The sequence below is a fragment of the Homo sapiens genome, chromosome 2 (assembly GCF_000001405.40).
Source record: "Homo sapiens chromosome 2, GRCh38.p14 Primary Assembly".
Classification (NCBI taxonomy): Eukaryota; Metazoa; Chordata; class Mammalia; order Primates; family Hominidae; genus Homo; species Homo sapiens.
Window position 1 is genome coordinate 222,012,528 of NC_000002.12, and position 18,896 is coordinate 222,031,423.

Genomic DNA, 18,896 nt, shown 5'->3' on the forward strand with positions numbered 1-18,896 from the left:
AAAAAGAAAAACGAAATTGGACCCTTACCTTATACCATTCACAAAATCAACTTAAAGTAAGTTGAAGATTCACACATAAGAACTGAAACTGTAAATTTCCTGTAATAGATACCTTTAACGTTCTCTTTCCTGGTTCCCACTTGAAACCATAAATCAACACCTTTGGGAGAGCAGCTTTTTTTTTTTTAATTTTTAAATTCCTCATTAGATTCTAATGTGCAGCCAAATTTAAGAAACACCTTTCCTTAATTCCATATAATCCCACTCATTTGGTGTGGTTCAGCTGAGGCTGATCCCATCTTCACCCTTGACCTGGTTGAGTATCGGCACCTGATTTTTATCTGGAAAATTAGAATAATCTCTCCCCTGAGCCACAATAATTAGTTCAAGGTTATGGAGTGACCCAAACCAGGTTAATTGCATTTCTTCTTGAGAATTTTGATAGAACAAACTAGAAAGATATATTTTCATCTGCAGAGAAAATACATTGTAAGGATAATTTAGTCTTTTCTCTCCCAGTGGCAACTTGCTCCCATGTGGAGACAGGATATCTGATAATTAAGTCAAATATAACTGATAGATAGAGGTAATCCTATTTAATAAACCCCTGGATCTTATCCTGAGACTTCCCAGTTAGGTAACCCTAGAGATTACTTCTTTTGATTGTGCTAGGTTGAGTTAGGTTTCTGTCTCCTGCAACTGAGAGAGTTCTTCTATGGGGCATGTGATATCATTTCTTTCCTCCTCCTTCAGGGTGGGAACAGATTTTCTCTTATGATAATTCCCTCCTTATCCTGTATTTTACTCTCTCCCTCTCTACTGGCTTACTTCTTGTTATGCTTAAACATACATTTTTCCAAACACAGAGACAGAAAGCTCCCAAAAGACCTGGTGTTCTCTCCTACCTATCCTTTGTCTCTCTCATTTTCTTCACAGTCAATCCCCTCAAAATAGTGATTTACAAATAATGTATCCCTCTCTTCAACTTCATAAATTTCACCCTTCCCTTCAAAAGGTGAATACAGACCACCTACAAGGACAACGGACTTCCCCCAACCTGAGTTCTCTCTCCGTGATCTTCTGCTCATATTTGACGTTGTTCAGTCTTTAAATCCTCCCTTAGCTTCTATCATGCTATTCTATTCTGGTTATCCTCAGCCCCTCTGTTAGCTTTTTTTCAGCCTTTTCTTTCATTGACTTCTCTTTATATTATCACAACCTACAAATACTGGAGCCCTTCTTCATTGTTCTCTCAATCCTCCTTCCCTGGGAGTTCTCATTCATCTCCTCGGCTTTACTCGCTTCTCTTTATATGTTATTAATTCCAAATCTCTATTTCTAGCCTTTCATGTGTCTTTCTTAGACTCTTGCCCTCCAACACCTCCCATCACTCAACTAACTCCTACTCATCCCTCAGGATTCACTTCAGGCATCACCTCTTCCAGGAAGCCTTTCCTAATTTCCCTGTTTGGTATTTCTCTGTGTTGCAGTATATTATAGTCACCTCGATCAAAGCAGTTATCACACTGTATAGAAACTATCTGTTTATACAGCTCTTTCTCAAGACTGTAAAAGCTTTGAGGCAGTAACTATGCTACATTTATCTTTGTCACTGGCATATAAAAGTTATTCAATAAAGGTTTGCTAAAGTAATAAAAGAATGGTGGCTGCTGATCATTGCAGACTCCCTGTACACTGGACTATTTGGTGAGGTAACACGGCGGTACACCATTCTAGAATTTCTTTCTCATAAATGTATAGGCTGGGAGGGCATTTGAGAGCCTCATTTTTAATAAATGTTTCTTCCTGCAATAATGCATACCTCGATTACATTTACTGTTCAACTCAAATTATAAATATTTTATATGTATTATTGATATATATGTCTTTATGTTTTTCTGTATAATAATAAGAATACATTTGTGTCAAATATTTTTTTGAGAGAGGGTCTTGCTCATTACCCAGTATGGAGTGCAGTGGCATGATCATGGCTCACTGCAGCCTTGACCTCCCAGGCTCAAGTGATCCTCTCACCTCAGCCTCCTGAGTAGCTGGGACTACAGATGTGCACCACCACACCCAGCTAATTTGTATAGAGATGTGGCCTCACCATGTTGCCCAGGCTGGTATTTTTTCTTAAGTTAATGTGCATTTTCCCAGATAGTTCTCATGAAACTCCTGTGAGGTGAGTCAGAATGGAAAGATAAGGAGAAAAGAAGAAGTGAGCAAGTGGGGAGTTGTATTTATTAGCTTGTTATATTATGTAGTGAAAGGTATACAGATGGGGACCTAGGATGTTGAGACCCCCAAGAACTATCAACAGTAGGGAGAGAATGCCTGCTGGAGCAAGAAGAGGAGGACATGGTGGAACAGGCAACAGGAGCATGAGTGAGAGTTGAAACCACTGCTCAACAGAAGCTGTGGTCATGAAAAGATGTAGCTGTTATCTGAACTGCAATAAGGCAAGAGGAATACCTTCTCCAGCCTTCCCACTTCCTTCCCTTCAGACACCCATGGGCCAGAACAGGGCAGGGAGAACAGAAAATGGGAAGCCAAATGGGTGATACCAAGTCAACCCTTTGACTCTGACTGGGTCTGTCGTGGAGTAGAGATTGGAAGAAGCAGTCCCATGAAGGAGTTGACTATGGCTTCTCTTTCTTTACCAATTTACTTCAATAAAGTAAAAACCTTCTTCAATAATTGACTCTTAACTAAGCCTTCCTTAACACAACATCCTGACATACCCAGTGACCTCTCAATTCAGTTCTGCTCTCCCAGTTGAGTTGGTGACTTCCCAAAAATCATATTTCCTTCCAAACCTGCTTATGCCAGTTGTACTTGCTATTGTTTTATGCTACCTATTCACCTAGTCATTAGGTCAACTACAAAGTATAAGTGCAAAAGAAAATAAGTCCTTAAACTTCCTCTCCCCTTAATAGGTATTCACTCTGTAGGTGATCCCAACCAGTCTCGTGACTTTAATCACTTTTACATATTTACAATTCTTTTTTTTTTTTTTTTTTTTTTTTTTGAGACGGAGTTTTGCTGTTGTTGCCCAAGCTGGAGTGCAATGGTGCAATCTCGGCTCATTGCAACCTCCGCCTCCCAGGTTCAACCGATTCTCCTGCCTCAGCCTTCCGAGTAGCTGGGATTACAGGTGTGTGCCACCACGCCCAGCTAATTTTTTGTATTTTTAGTAGAAACGGAGTTTCACCATGTTAGCCAGGTTGGTTAAGAACTCCTGACCTCAGATTATCCACCCACCTCGGCCTCCCAAAGAGCTGGGATTACAGGCATGAGCCACCGCCTCTGGCCCATATTTACAATTCTTAAAGATATATCTCCAGTCTAGATCACTCCTTGACATCCTCCCTTGAATATCTAATATGTATCCTATTTTAATGGGCTCTCAAGTGAGCTCCTGACTTGTGCCACTTCCACCACCATCCTATACCTGCTCTACCTGTGGTCTCACTCATCTTAGGCAATGGTAACTCCATCCTGCTACGTGCTCAGGCAAAAAGCCCTGGATTTATCTTTGATTTCTTCCTCTCTTTCACACTTCACACCCAATCTGTCAGAAAATCTATTGTCTTTACCTTCAACCCATTTTCAAAATTTAACCCCTTCTAATCACCTCACCATTATTACTTTGGTCTGAGCCACCATCCTCTCTTACCTGAATTACTGCCATAGTTTCCTACCTGGTCCTCCCTACGCTGACCCATGCAGTATGTTCTCAGCCTTGCTGTGTGATCATCGTGAGGGATCATGTCATTCTTCTGCTTAAATGCATTGGCTCCCCATTTCTTTCAGAGGAAAATCCAAAGTTCTTTTAATGCCACAAACCCCTAGCTGTTTCTTGGTTCTACGGTCCCTCCCTGAATTCACTTCCTATATCCCTCACCCCACAATGACCTTCTGGCTGTTCCTTGAACATTCCAGACATAGACCCAAGCCAGCGCCTTGGATCTAGCTGCTCCTTACACCTCAAATGCGTCTCCTCCAGACCCCTTCAAGGTCTACTCCCTCCCCTTTCAGTCTTTGCTCAAGTCTCATCATCTCATTAAGAACGACAACACCACATAAAATTGCAGACCTTCCCCAACACTCCTCAGACCTTCTCCAACACTTCTCACTTATTCTGTCTTTCCCAAAGGATTTAGTCCTTTTCGAACACACGTCATAACGGAAATACGTATTGTGCTTATTGTTCAATGTCCACTCCTAATAGAAGGTAAGCTCTCCCTAGGCACATAATTGTAGCTGTTTTCTTCATCCAAGACACTAACAACAGTGACAGGCACACGGCAGAGGCTAAAATATTTGTTGAAATAATTGAAGAAAAATGTTTTAAGAAACACAGCATTTTGAAAGTACTGTTTTTGGTCATGTAGATTTGATTTGATTTGTGTTTCTAAATTATGATCACATTATTATTATTACGACTATTAGTATTAGTATTATTTTACCTATTTGGCTCTTACAAAAATCCAAAAAGAAAAAAAAGAAAATGAAAAAGAAAGTGTCGTGAAATTTCTAGAAGGCAGAGGTTTTACTGGCTCAGAATATAACTGTGCTTAGAACTACTGAATGGAATTCAAAAATTGAGTTTGCTCATCAGAACATAAAAATAAAATAGGAGCCATCTTTTTAATATAGGTGAGTCCTTATAACTCTTTTTTAATACTCTATAAAATTATCATCCTTTCAGTTCCAGGTCTAGGAGATTTTTCCCTTTTAAAATTCTTCCGCAAAAAAAAAAGTCACAAATCTAATAGGACAGGAACTCTTAAAACCACAGATATGATTAAGGCTCAGTTCCCTAATAAATGTGCAATGAAACACTTGTCAGCCCTTGAAATAATGAGCTGTGATCTATGATAAATGTGCCAATAACACATTTTCCAGGGCAGCATATTTCAGATGGGTAGGAAATAGTTGAATCACAGCAGGATCTTATTTTTACACAAATTACTTCTAAACTCCAAACATATCTAAAATTAATTTCTTTCATCACATTAACACTGGGCTGTTAATCACCGGAATGTGTGCTCATATTTGACAGACATAAAAACTGATTTACATTTGGAAGAGGAGGAGGACATGCATAAAAGAAGCATGTTCCTCATGTGAAATAAAGTTTTGCATATCCTGTTTCATAAAATATATTGCTTGTTGACTAGTCACAGATGATTATGAAGGCGAATGCAGTAATGGCTTATGAACTTCAAATTAAAAGATCTGGCCTTTCTTCAACAGCGTACATGAATTAAGAACAATATATAATGCAATATGCCTGTAACAGAAAGAGGGAAATTACAAAATGCTTAAGCCTCTCTGGTTAATTTCTGGGAATTAATTTATTCACTCATTCAGTTATGGATACACACAAAAGTATATTGAATTTCTATGATTCCCTACTCAAGTGCAGTTCTAATTCTAAGGTAGAAAATAATTCAAGGTACACAATACATTAATTACTATGAGAATAGAATGTATAGGATGCTATGGGGACCTAGGTGAAGGACAGACTGCCTCATCTGCAAGACAGGAACTAATGATAGTTCCTAATCCAGAGAATTAATGTGAAGATTAAACGAGTGAGGGTGTATGGAAAAGCTTAAAGCGACCTGGCCCATGGTGAACACTCAGTGCATGTTGGCCTTTATTACAAGGCCACATGTGTTCAAGCCACACGTGATTAAATATTTATGTCAGGCATGGTACTAGGCAGGGAGAATACTCACCCATCTCATGGCACTTATAGTCTAGTGGGGAAGACTGTATAATATAACAAATATTCCAGGAGAGGATGCAAAATTCCTATGGAAAGGGAGAGCCAGGCCCCTAACAAGTCTGGGAATTAAAGAAAGTCCTACACAGAGTGTATTATAAGCAGAACCAGTGAGTGCCCCCCTAGGATTCTCCTGGCCACTAGTTTTACAAAAAGGATTAAGCCATAGCATAACCCAGCTATGGATAAAGAAGGAAAGGACTATATCCCAAAGGAGTCTTAAGGCTAGACCAGCATGCACTAACTGGGAAAGTACACGGGGGGCTGAATACTGAGAATGTTTGATTAAGGGAGGCAAAACATAAAACTGGATACGGAAGAGTTTGTTGACTCATTTGAGGGCACCATCCCAAGAGACAGGATTTAACACTCCAGCAATGACCCTAGGCAAGGGTGCTAACTAAATCATTGCTAATGTGGCTCCTAGAGGCATCAAAAAAGCAATAGCTCATGCTGAAAAGACAGAATTGAGGTGGCAGAATGGTGGAGCAAGAGATTAAAAGTCTCTGGAAAGTGGAACCTGCTGGAATGGATATACTGCATACAGCCAAAAGACATCCAGATTAGGTTCCACCAGAGGGTCCAGGTGACATGACACACACCAAGGCTACTGGAATGTGCTGGTGAGCAGGCACCGGCATCACTAAGAAGGTGAGTGGTGGCTGTCCCCTGCAGGCCTGGGCTGACAGTGGGAGAACCTGCTACGGAATCTGGTTCATCAATAGCAATCAGATGATAGGCTAGAATGCCTGAACAACAGAGGTCAGGCAGTAAGACTTCACCGTTGGAAGCCTGGGGTCTGAATGAGTTGGAGTGGCAGCTGGGTGGGCGGGGGGGGGGCACATACACAAGTTATGGAGATGGTTGAGAGAATGTAGCAGCTCTGGGGACAAAATAGATGGACAATTGACATGGATATTACTCAGTTTATACCAGTGGAAGATATCAAGAATGGATGGCCAGGAGGCTGAGGGGAAGTCACCCCTTTCCCAGATTCCAGACCTGAGCCAGTTTTCAGACCTGGAGCCCACTGGCTGATGAGGTGACCAGCTCTCTAGGAGAAAGGATCCTGCACCATCATGCCAATCACACCGTGGCAATTTCCTAATTCTTCCACAAAGGAACCTACAGCCTTTTGCATGAGTAACTGAACACTGGAGAAAATGGACCACCAGACATCTCAATTATTGGACACAGGATCTGATTGACATTAATACTGTAATACCTGGAGCATCATCAGGCCTCTCTTCATATTAGAATGGGGGCATATAGAATCTATGTAATCCATGTAATCCTGAAACATTTGGCATACAGTGGGTCATACTGGGTCACCAGACCCACTCAGTGCCATTTGTTCAGTCTCAAAATATATAACTGAGATCAATATACTTCGCAGTTGATGCCTTATTCTGCAGGGTAAGAATTATCAGAGCGGAGAAGGCAACATGGAGGTCTCTGAAACTGACCCTTTCTGGCCAAGATAATAAATCAAAAGCAATATTGCATCTCCTGGGGGAGATCCACATGAGTGATCTCCTTAAGAGTCTAAAGGATGCAAAGGCCATAGATAGTCCCTATCATACCTTCATTAAATTCACCAGTCTGGTCCCTGGAAACTGGAGGATGAATCCTGCAGTATGCCTGGGATGCAAGTTCAACCCAGATTGCAGTCACCATGCTCACTGTGGTATCTTAGCCTCAGACACATGGTGTGTGGCCATTGATTTGGTGAAGGTGTTCATTTCTATCATTATCAGAAAAGAGAATAAAAAAGTTTGCATTAACATGGAATAAAGAACAGGAAACATTTGAAGGTTTGCCCCAGGGCTACGTTAATTCTCCTACCCTTTAACATAGAAAGGTTAGAGAGATCTGAACCATCTGAACATCCTAGAAAACAGCACATTGATCTGTTACATGAAAAGTATTATGTTGGTGGGGCTGAATGAGCTAGAGGTGGCTTGCATGCTGTGGGCCACACATGTGCTACAGAGGGTGGGAAGTAAAACTCACAAAGAATCAGAACCTGCCACATCTGTAAAATGTTTAGAAATCCAGTGGTCAGGACATCCATTCCAAAGTAGAAGCAGCTCATTGCATTGTGCCCTGTTATAACAAAGAAGGCACAGAAAGGAAAGGCCTTTTTGGGTTCTGGGGCAGCATATTCCACACCTGGAATTACTGCTTTATCTATATACCGGGAAATATGAAGAGCTTGGATCTTGAGTGGGGCCTGGAGCAGGAAAGGGCCCTGAAGCAGCCTAAGGCAGTGCAAGCAGCCTGCCACTGGGGAAAACAACTCAACAAATGCAATGGTTCTGGAAACAGCAGTAGAGAGAAAAGATGCTTTGTGCAGTCTGGAACATCCCAGTGTGAGAACCCCAATATAAACCCTTTGGGGACTGGAGCATGCCATGTCTTCTGCAGCGGAGAATTATACACCTTTTGAAAGACAATCTTGTCACGTTGTTTGGCCCTGGTAGAGCTGAGATGACAAATGACCATTCGACTAGAATTACTAGTCCCCTCAGCCTCATCAAGTCATAACAGAGGCCCATCAGGAATTCATTATAAGATGAAAATGTTGCATCAAAGATTAAGCCTAGCAGAACCAGAAGGGACAGCATATTCCGTGAGCATAGCCCAGACCCTCATGGCCCCCACCTATATCCCACCAGCACCCTTCCTCGGCTCACAGCTCTTGCCATATGGAGACTCCTGCATGCAAGCTGGAAGTGAAAGTCAGAGTGTGATTTCCAATGGTAGCTCTGTTTTGTGATTACAAGATGAAAATGTAGTTTTTCTTGGGGTGGCCTTCTAAGACAAGGGTGGGCCAGGTGCAGTGGCTCACACCTGTAATTTCAGTAATTTGAGAGGTTGAGGCAGGCAGATCACCTGAGGTCAGAAGTTTAAGACCAGCCTGGCCAACACGGTGAAACCCCATCTCCATTAAAAACACAAAAAAATTAGCCAGACATGGTGGCATGCGCCTGTAATTCCAGCTACTCGGGAGGCTGAGGCACGAGAATTGCTTGAACCTAAGAGGTGGAAGTTACAGTGAGCCAAGATCATGCCACTGCACTCCAGCCTGCCCAACAGAGTGAGACTCTGTCTCAAAAAAAAAAAAAGGTGGGAGAAAATCCTCCTTGTAGGCAGTGGGTTAGGTATGACACTTGATCATCCACTTTGTGGGGAAAGAGAAAGGGCTTGACTCATAGGCAGTGGTGAATGGTCTGGCGTGCTGGAGGGAGACCTGGAAGGACCAAGACTAAAAGTTCAGCGCCAAAAAGGGAAATGTGGGCCTGGACCTATGGGAATTGGCAGGGAGTATGAAGACCTTGGTATTACATTACAGTGCCCACCAAAACCAATTAGGAAAGATGAGTCTTATAATCCTTAATTTTACTATACTTTATTTAGCTGTAAGTTTATACAATTTAATTTTTAATAATGAGTTCTTAACAACTGGCATCCATATAAAAATAAATAAATAAAATACATAGGAATACCTCTAACCAAGGAGGTGAAAGATCTTTATAAGGAAAACTACAAAACATTGCCGAAAAAAATTCTAGATGACACAAACAAATGGAAAAACACTCCATGCTCATAGATCAGAAGAATTAATATTGTTAAAATGACCATACTACCCAAAGTAATCTACAGACTCAATCTTATACCTACCAAAGTACCAACATCATTCTTCACAGAATTACAGAAAACTATTCTAAAATTTATATGGAAGCACAAAAGAGCCTGAAGATCCAAAGCAACCAAGCCAAGAGAATAGAGCCTGAGGCATCACATTACCCAACTTCAAACTATACTATAAGGCTACAGTAGCCAAAACATCATGGTACTGGTACAAGAACAGACACATAGATCAATGGTGTAGAATGGAGAACTCAAAAACAAAACCACACACCTACAACCATCTGATCTGCAACAAAGTTGACAAAAATAAACAATGGGAAAAGGACTCCTTATTAGAATAGTTGTGCTGGAATAACTGGGCTAGCCATATGTGGAAGAGGGAACCTGGATCTCTACTTTTCATCATATATAAATTAAGTCAAGATGAATGAAAGATTTAAGTATAAGACCTCAAGCTATAAAAATCCTAGAAGAAAATCTAGGAAATACCCTTCTCAACACTGGCCTTGGCAAATAATTTATGGCTAAGTCCTCAAAAGCAATGGCAACAAAAACAAAAAATTGACAAACGGGGCCTAATTAAACTAAAGAGTTTCTGCACAACAAAAGATAATATCAGCAGAGTAAACAAGCAACCTACAGAATAGAAGAAAATATTCACAAACTATGCATCCAACAAAGACCTAATATTCAGAACCTATAGGGAACTTAAACAAATCAACAAGCAAAAGCAAATAACCCCATTAAAACATGGGCAAAGGATAGACACTTCTCAAAAGAAGACATGCAAGTGTCCAAGAAACTTACGAAAAAATGCTCATCATCACTAATCATCAGAGAAATGCAAATCAAAACCACAGTGAGACACCATCTCACACCAGACAGAACAGCTTATCATTAAAAAGTCAAATGATGGCCAGGTGCAGTGGCTTGCACCTATAATCCCACAACACTTTGGGAGGCCAAGGCGGGTGGATCACCTGAGGTCAGGAGTTCGAGACTAGCCCAGCCAACATGGGGAAACCCTGTCTGTACTAAAAATACAACAAATTAGTGGGTGTGGTGGCAGGTGCCTATAATCCCAGCTATTCAGGAGGCTGAGGCAGCAGAATCGCTTGAACCCGGGAGACGGAGGTTGCGGTGAGCCAAGATCGTGCCATTGAACTCCGGCCTGGGCAACAAGAGTGAGACTTTGTCTCAAAAAAAAAAAGTCAAAAGATAACAGATGCTGGCATGTCTACGAAGACAAGAGAATGCTTTTATACTGTTGGTGAAAGTGTAAATTAGTTCAGACACTCTGGAAAGCAGTGTGGAGATTTCTCAAAGAACTTAATATGCCTAGTGTTCCATTATTGGAACACTAAGCACGTGGGAGTTATTTATATCCTACTGCTCAAGGTCACCTCCAAGGTCTCATTACAAAAATTCAAAAAATTGCAACCTCAGGCCTAAATGGGTTAAAACAGAACTATGACCCAGCAATCTCATTCCTGGGTATATATTCAAAGGAAAATAAATCATTCTACCAAAAAGATACATGAACTCATGTTCATCACAACAGTATTCACAATAGCAAAGACAGGGAATCAACTGAGATGCCCGTGAACAGTGGATTAGATAAAGAAAATGTGGTACATAAATACCATAGGATACTATGCAGTCATGAAAAAGAATGAAATCATGTCTTTTGCAGCAATGTGGATGCAGCTGGGGTTCATTATCCTAAGCGAATTAACACGGGAACAGAAAAATAAATACTGCCATGTTCTTACCTATAAATGGGAGCTAAACATTGAGCATACATCAGCATAAAGAGGGAACAATGGGTACTGGAGACCACCAGAGGGGAAGAAGGGAGTGGGACAAGGGCTGAAAAACTCTTATTAGTTACTGTGCTTGCTGCCTGGGTGATGGGTTCATCCATACCTCAAACCTCAGCATCACACAATGTTTCCATGTAGCAAACCTGCACATGTACCTCCTGAATCTAAAAGAAAAGTTGAAATAATTAAAAAAAAAAACCCTCATTATGAAAGCCTATTTAATGACAGAGAAAAGCTCACTGCAAAATAGAAAAAGAAATAAATTTTCGAAAGAAAACTATATATAGTACACAAAAAATAGAGAAAATGCACAATAAAATATTAACTGTAGTTGTCTCTGAGTGGTGGAGATGTGAATAATTTTGTTTTCTTTAAAACTTTTCTACATTTTCCAAATGTCTCTGAGAATTATGTATTATTTCACAAAGTAATAATAACTGGCATGAAAATTCTCTGAAAATTTAACAATTAGCTCTTGCATGCTGACACGAGCTGGCTCCAGTACACCAGTAGGCCTGAAAATAACTTGGTTAAGTTTTTTGCTAAGAGGCAGAAATAAGAATCAAGATATGAGTTACATCACATAATAGGAAAATAAAGATCGTGAATTATTGGAACCTATAACTGAGTGGCTTGTGGAAGTTACACTTGCTACATTTCTTTATCAAGGTGTCCCAAAATAGAATAAAAATTGCTGGCTTAAAGCTCGAAGCTTGGTAAGATGTGCCCTTGTCAATTTAAAACAATATAAACAACCAGTAATTCCATGAGAAAAAAAAAATCTTGTGTATTAGTGTATTGTTTGCTGGTGTGATGAAATGCCTACTATCATTTTGAAATTATTAGACAGTATTCATTTCTCTGCCCATTCTCTACTTGCCAGGAGCAGAGTCTACAATTTACAGCATCAGCTGCTTAGTTTATAATCTTGATTGAGGTCATTTAATTTGAAATTAAATCAAGCAAAATAAATAAAGGCAAGATTCTACTGAGCATGTACATTACAACTATGACTATACAAATACCACCCGGTAAGAATAAATGGAACTAACTCTGAAAATTTTACTTGTCTTCAATGGCTTTCAAAGGGTCAGAGGAATATACGGTATTATAAGATGTAAACATTTCCTTTGAAGATCTATAGAGTAAATATCTAGTTGTCAAGCTAAATTGCTGAAGAAATGGGGGGGTTCCATCCAAAATTTGTGAGGAAGATAATAAAGTAATAGCAGCTTCTTTTGAAAGCACATTTTTGACCTACTTTATAAATTCCTATACTATGTTTCTCCTGGGCCACACTAGAGGGCGAACTTTCCCTTCTCTAGAAATCTTCCTAACCTGTGTCCTTTCAAAGGGACGCATTTTTCTAAGGAAGGTTGTTAATCTCCAGGAAATCTTAAAGACAATCAAGTAGGTTCAGTTAAAACAATCAGAATTAGCGGACTCCAGGAGAGAGCTTATTTACAAAGCAGAGGACAGTTTAAAGCAAAATGAAAGGAAAACAGAAAACAAAAACCCCTGTCCTCTATCAATTACTAATACGTTTTATACCTTGCACTTTATAAAGTGTGTTATGAATATTGTCTCTCCACATTCTCTCAGAGACCATATGTAATATTTTAGTCCATTTTCAAGCTGAGAAGCTGAGAAAATTGAAGCTCAGTGGTTTCAAGAGACTCGCTCAAGGTCAAACCGGTTTAAGGCAAGCAACCGAATCTAGTTATGATTTGAACTAATTTCTTCTTTCTTAAAGTTTGGCTCATTGAAGACCCAAGGTCTGTGGCATATGCAATGAGCCAGACTTGAAGAACTGTAGCTTTTCATGAAAAAACTCAGGACATCCCAGGGCAACAGCCCAGCTCGACATTCTCAGATGAACAAACTAGACTCTGGCTATCCCCACTTTGTAAGAAGAGCTAATGAGCAGAAACTTTCCATGACATCTGTACTCTCCTAAGGCTATGATTAAATCATTGACTTAAAATATTGCAAGTATGACACATTTGATTATTTTGCCCCTGGAAAAAATATTATAGGATATGCACTAATTTATTTACTTACATTAAGTAAAGATTTATAAAGAAGCTCTTTAAGTTACAATCCAAATTAAGAGAAAATATAAATTAGAATGTGATTACCTAAGTCACAGAAGGTCCCTTGCTTTCAAAAGGATTCGCTCCAGGGTTCCTTTGAACTGAGAGCTGCCCAGCTGTATGTTAAATGAGCCCATTTACAGTACAAGGGCTCAATTTACATAGAAATGCCCAGAAACAGAGCTGTCACACAAAGTGAAAGGCATCTGCACTGTACTTTGTGTTAGCAGGAAGATTTAAATATATAGAAAATACCAGGCGGGAGAACATCTATCTATGGTTGAGCTTGAATCCACCTCCAGCCCTCTGTTAGCTCACAAATCAGGAGGCGGAAATGATTCTCCAGGTTCTTCTGGTTCCTTCTCTTGCTCCCAGTTGCCGAGGTATTGATCCTGCTATTAAAGTTGTCGGAAATTTCCACAGCTTCCCACAGAAGTCCCCATTCTCCTCCTCATCAGCACATTCCGCATGTGACCCAAAGTGTAGCAGGTGCCTGAAGCTGATTAAAGAAAAGACAGTCTCCCGCTTCATGGACTTTAAATTCCCCTGATGAAAAGGGAATGCACATGTGCCTTCTCAAGCCACCAATAACAGCTGAAAAACGACAGGTGAGATCGAATGATTTAATAACGTGTTCCTCTGTTTCTCTTCTGCAAATACTCAGGGGCATATTAGGCATTGTGTTTTGTTTCCCCTCTTTGTAGAGGGTTTGTGGACAGGTACGTGGGAAAGGAAGTGAGGGAAAAAAAAAAAAAAGAACAGACAAGTGGCTCAGTGCAGTGGCTTACTCCTGCAATCCCAGCAATTTTGGAGGCTGAGCGGGGAGGACCACTTGAGCCCAGGAGTCTGAGAACAGCCTGGGCAATATAATGAGACCCTGTCTCTACAAAACGTTAAAAAATTAGCCAGGTGTGGTGACATACCTGTGGTCCCACCTACTCAGGAGGCTGAAGTGGGAGGATTGCTTGAGCCCAGGAATTTGAGGCTGCAGTGAGCCATGATTGTGTCACTGCACTCTATCCTGGGTGACAGAGTGGACCCTGTCTTTAAAAAAAAAAAAAAAGAAAAACAGAGGTTTCTGAGGACAGGTTAGAAATTTATTTACTTTCTACTTATTTGATTATGTATTTGTGTATGTATTTATTTATCGCCTCATTCTAAAAAGAAATTTGCAGCAGCAAATGATATTATAAAATAGAATGTCAATATAAAAATAGAAAACCAGAGGGAAGGAGAGAAAAGGAAATTAAGATAAGGGAAATAATGGTATTTCAATAACATGCAATAATACATTTGGTAGAGTTCTGCCAAAATATTTCTACAGCACCTTGATCTTTGAAAATCCAGGCAGGTTTTAAAAATCCAGAATGGGTTCAGTTCTCAGAAATCCATTCAAAAAGGAGAAACAAGGTATGTCGCACAATTTACATCAGATTACAAAGCAGATCAGCTAGCTCTTTAAGAGAGGCATTTTTGTCTCAGCTAGCCTCTGATAAATTTTTTCCCTCTATTCTCAACTTGTGGGCAACGCCACCCCTAACAATAAATTCAACAGCAGATTTGGGGGCCAGTGGCTTATAAATTCTCTCAAAATAGACAAATGGCTCAAGAACAAACCCCAGCCTAAGACAGGAGGTATGTTAGGGATAAAAGCAATGTAGGCCGGGTGTGGTGGCTCATGCCTGTAATCCTAGCAGTTTGGGAGGCTGCCGCAGGCAGATCACAAGGTCAGGAATTCGAGACCAGCCTGACCAACATGGTGAAACCCTGTCTCTACTAAAAATACAAAAATTAGCCGGGTGTGGTGGCGCACACTTGTAATCCCAGCTACTAGGGAGGCTGAGGCAGGAGAATCACTTGAACCCGGGAGGCAGAGGTTTCAGTGAGCCAAGATTGCACCACTGCACTCCAGCCTGGGTAACAGAGCGAGACTCTATCTCAAAAAAATAAAATAAAATAAAATAATAAAAAAGTGCACAGTAGAGGCTAAGCAATGTCATGCAGGTAGAGGGGGTGCAAACGGAGGAAGAGAGAGGAAATAAGTGCAGTAGGCATGCAGGGCAGAATTACATCTTCCAGATGCTTGAGGAGGAGAAAGGAAGCTTAAGCCTAGAGAGACCTGTGGCCTTGCCACCATCCTCTTCTTCAGGCATGTCCTAACACTCCTGAGTCCTGGCCTTGTTGCAGACAAAAAATACCATAATAAAAGGTCAAGAGGCAGGGCATGGTGGCTCACACCAATAATCCCAACACTTGGGAGGCCAAGGCAGGAGGAGTGCTTGACCCCAGGAGTTCGAGACCAGTCTGGGCAACATAAGGATATTTCCTCGCTACAAAAGTAAAAAAAAAAAATAGCCAGGTGTGGTGGTGCATGCCTGTGGTCCCAGCTACTTGGGAGGCTAAGGTGGGAGGATCGCTTGGGCCCAGGAGGTTGGGGCTGCAGTGAGCCATGATCGCGCCACTACACTCCAGCCTAGGCAACACAGCAAGACCCTGTCTCTAACCGACTAACTAACTAACTAAATAAATAAATAAATAAATAAAAAGTCAAGAAGAGGACAATACCTGGAATTTACATGAAAACCCAGGAGGAAGGGTATAAGTGGATATCCAGTAGTTAAACAACCTTGGTGTCTAAGAGGAACTGTGCTGATACATGGGGCTTCCTGACATTTTTCCGACGTACTCTGTTCCAGTGCTTTGCACAGAACACACAGTGTTCACAGCCGGGAGACCAGCTAGGAGGCCTCAGCTGCTATGGGCACCACCTGGCTGCTCCCTGGGGATCAGTACTGTGACCCCATTTTAATGTGGTACTGTAGGAAGTCTTGCTAATGGAACGACTGCCCCTGACTAAAACTGACTTCGCAAAGATTATGACAGTGAGATAAGTCTGGCCTGGGCTCACTCCATCTCGCTTCTAGCCTCACAGGCTGGCTGCCCTCACTTATCCCTGGGCATAGGCCAAGCTACTCAGGGGAGGAATTTATAGTCTAACTTTAAAGCAAGGATGATAATAGTCTCACCCTAAAACTAACTCCTCCTTGTTCAGTGGCTGAAAACACCTTTGTAAGACTAATGAAGAGCCACAAGATTAGGATTCTGGTAGGGGCCTGAATTCTGCTACACTGTAGGCTTAATTTCTATAATCCCTTACTGTAGAGGAGTCACATGGCCAGAGGTCACAAGATTTGTGACTTTCTCAGTTGTTCATATAAATAACATCACTATTACAGAACATAAGATTGGCCTTTTCAGATGTTTTTCAGACTGACCCCACCTAGACTTGTGACTCACGACTTAACCAGTCCTGTGCACCCCCCACCACACAAAGGTGGACTTAGTGTATAAGGACCGTTTCCCACACTCGTATGATTCTCAACCAATCAGCAGCACCCATTACCTAGTCCCCTGCCCACCAAACTATCCTTGAAAAACCCTAACCTCTGAGCCTTCGGGAGACTGATTTGGGTAATAACTGTCTTCCACATGGGCAGACTCCCGTTAATTCAACTCTTGCTTTACTGCAAGATCACAGTCTCAGTGAACTGGTTTTGTCTGTGCAGCACACAGGAATAACCCATCACCTGATTACACAACCACTGAACAAGAAGACTTGGGTTCAAGGCTACCTTTGGTCAGCCATTTTCTCTAAGAAAGAACACAGTCAAAGTACAGAACACTGTGGAACACAGAAGAAAGCGAAAACTAATGGAGACATTTGGGAGGTAGTATTTAAACTGAACCTTCAAAAAATAAAACATATGTTATTTTTCACTAAGCAAGCAACAGTGTTCCTCAAGGGAAGAGGGCTTTACCTATCCTCTTAATCTCTGTGCTCACTTCTAGACTGGCCTAGCACAGGATAGATGCTCAGTGCTGTGATTCAACAAGTGTTCACTGAATGCTCATCAAGCTCTACCTGATTTAAATGGTGACCCAGATGATGTCCTGTGGCAGATTCTGGAGAGGTTGCAGGTAGAGTTAGCATCGTAGGTGACATCAGCACTTGCCCAGGCCCCCGGCTTAGAAGGCCCTGCACTTAGTTTAGTAACCTGCTGCCGCCATCTTGAAATTTTTGTTAATTTGTGAACAGGAGGCCTGCGTTTTCATTTTGCACTGACCGCACAAATTATGCAGCCATCCCTGGCTGTAGCTGTTATGTTTTGCCAGCAGATACTATCACGCCCTGTGAAGGTACTGACAGGGTGTTTCAGAGTTTTTGACAAGTACCCATTTTCCAAATAGAAGAGGCATCCTATGAATTGCCTGTACAATAAAAGACAGCCTGAAATAAAAATGTGTTTCTTAGATTAGACAGTCTTCTTGCAACAGTCCTACAATCCTGGTGAGAATCTTTTAATGATGAAGAGCTTAAATGCTTTACAATTTTCCCACCATGAATTTTTTCCCATGTTGTACCCTTCTCTTCCACCCAAGTCTTAGGAGAGTTCCCAAAAATTTCACCTTCCTTTTTGTTTTAAAAGGATAGATAATCTTTCCACAGCCTTTACTGATTGCAAACTCCTTGAGAAAAGAGTTGCATTTTCTAGCCTTTTGCATCCCACACTGCTAAGGGTCATATTACACACACAGAGATCAATCAATAATACTATGGTCTTATAATTGCATCCCTTTGCATGTTAAAAACACACTTATATAAATTGTCTCATCTGATGATTACAATAATCCCATGGGTTTTCAGGGCAGGTATTTATTCTCTTTCTCCAGATTAGGAAACCAAAAATTAGAGCAACGTTTAATAACCGCCTCTACTTACACTTGTGACTTCTAGATGGAGGTTTCTAATTCTGAAATTGAAAAAGAAAATCATTTACTCTCTATGTATTTATGTATTCATTTATTTGTTCATGTATTTATTGAACCTTTGACCTATATATCCACCCCTTTCTGGAATCTCCACTTGAATGCCTAAATGGTAGGCCCCACTCAACACCTACCAAACCAAACGTATCATTTTCCGCCCTCTCTCTGCCCCACCTTGCTTAAACCTGCTCCTCTGAGAGTCTGTTCGCTAATATCATCACCTTCCTCCTAATTGCCCAAGCCAGATACCTAGCTATCATCCTCCACCCAACCCTTGCTCCAATTTACCAGTCCCAGTGGAGGTCCAAATCCTGCCGATTATTTCCTGTCTATCGCTTAGGAAGCCAGAGCCTAGCACAGGATCTGGCACACAATGGTGTCTTCATATATTTTGATTGAACTAAATTAAGTCCTCTTGGGCAGCACTGGTAGCCAAAGTGACTTCCCAGGCCAATGCTCTGGCTTCTTTCCTGGCTGGAGAAGAATCAGTGCTCCTGGATCTCATCTGTCACCCAACTCTCTCATAGGTGGAGGCCAGGTGAGAAAGCCTGAGAAAGGAAACCTGTCTCCCCCAGCACATGTAGCTTCCGGAGGAGAAAGAAATCATCTCACACAAATATTACTGTCTTGCACTCAGGCCCTTTCACTTTTGTCTTCCAATTCTTTAGTTGTTGTTTCTTTAGTTCTTGTTGTTGCTGTTGT

General features: G+C 41.1%; 2 annotated features.

The window, feature by feature from the left end:
* Positions 12,370–13,356: an enhancer, noted in NCBI's record as "OCT4-NANOG-H3K27ac hESC enhancer chr2:222889616-222890602 (GRCh37/hg19 assembly coordinates)". NCBI's record gives its function as "activates a minimal SCP1, AML or CMV promoter by ChIP-STARR-seq in naive H9 embryonic stem cells {active_cell/tissue: H9 hESC(naive)}" and the evidence as "EXISTENCE:reporter gene assay evidence [ECO:0000049][PMID:30033119]".
* Positions 13,357–14,343: an enhancer, noted in NCBI's record as "OCT4-NANOG-H3K27ac hESC enhancer chr2:222890603-222891589 (GRCh37/hg19 assembly coordinates)". NCBI's record gives its function as "activates a minimal SCP1, AML or CMV promoter by ChIP-STARR-seq in naive and primed H9 embryonic stem cells {active_cell/tissue: H9 hESC(naive and primed)}" and the evidence as "EXISTENCE:reporter gene assay evidence [ECO:0000049][PMID:30033119]".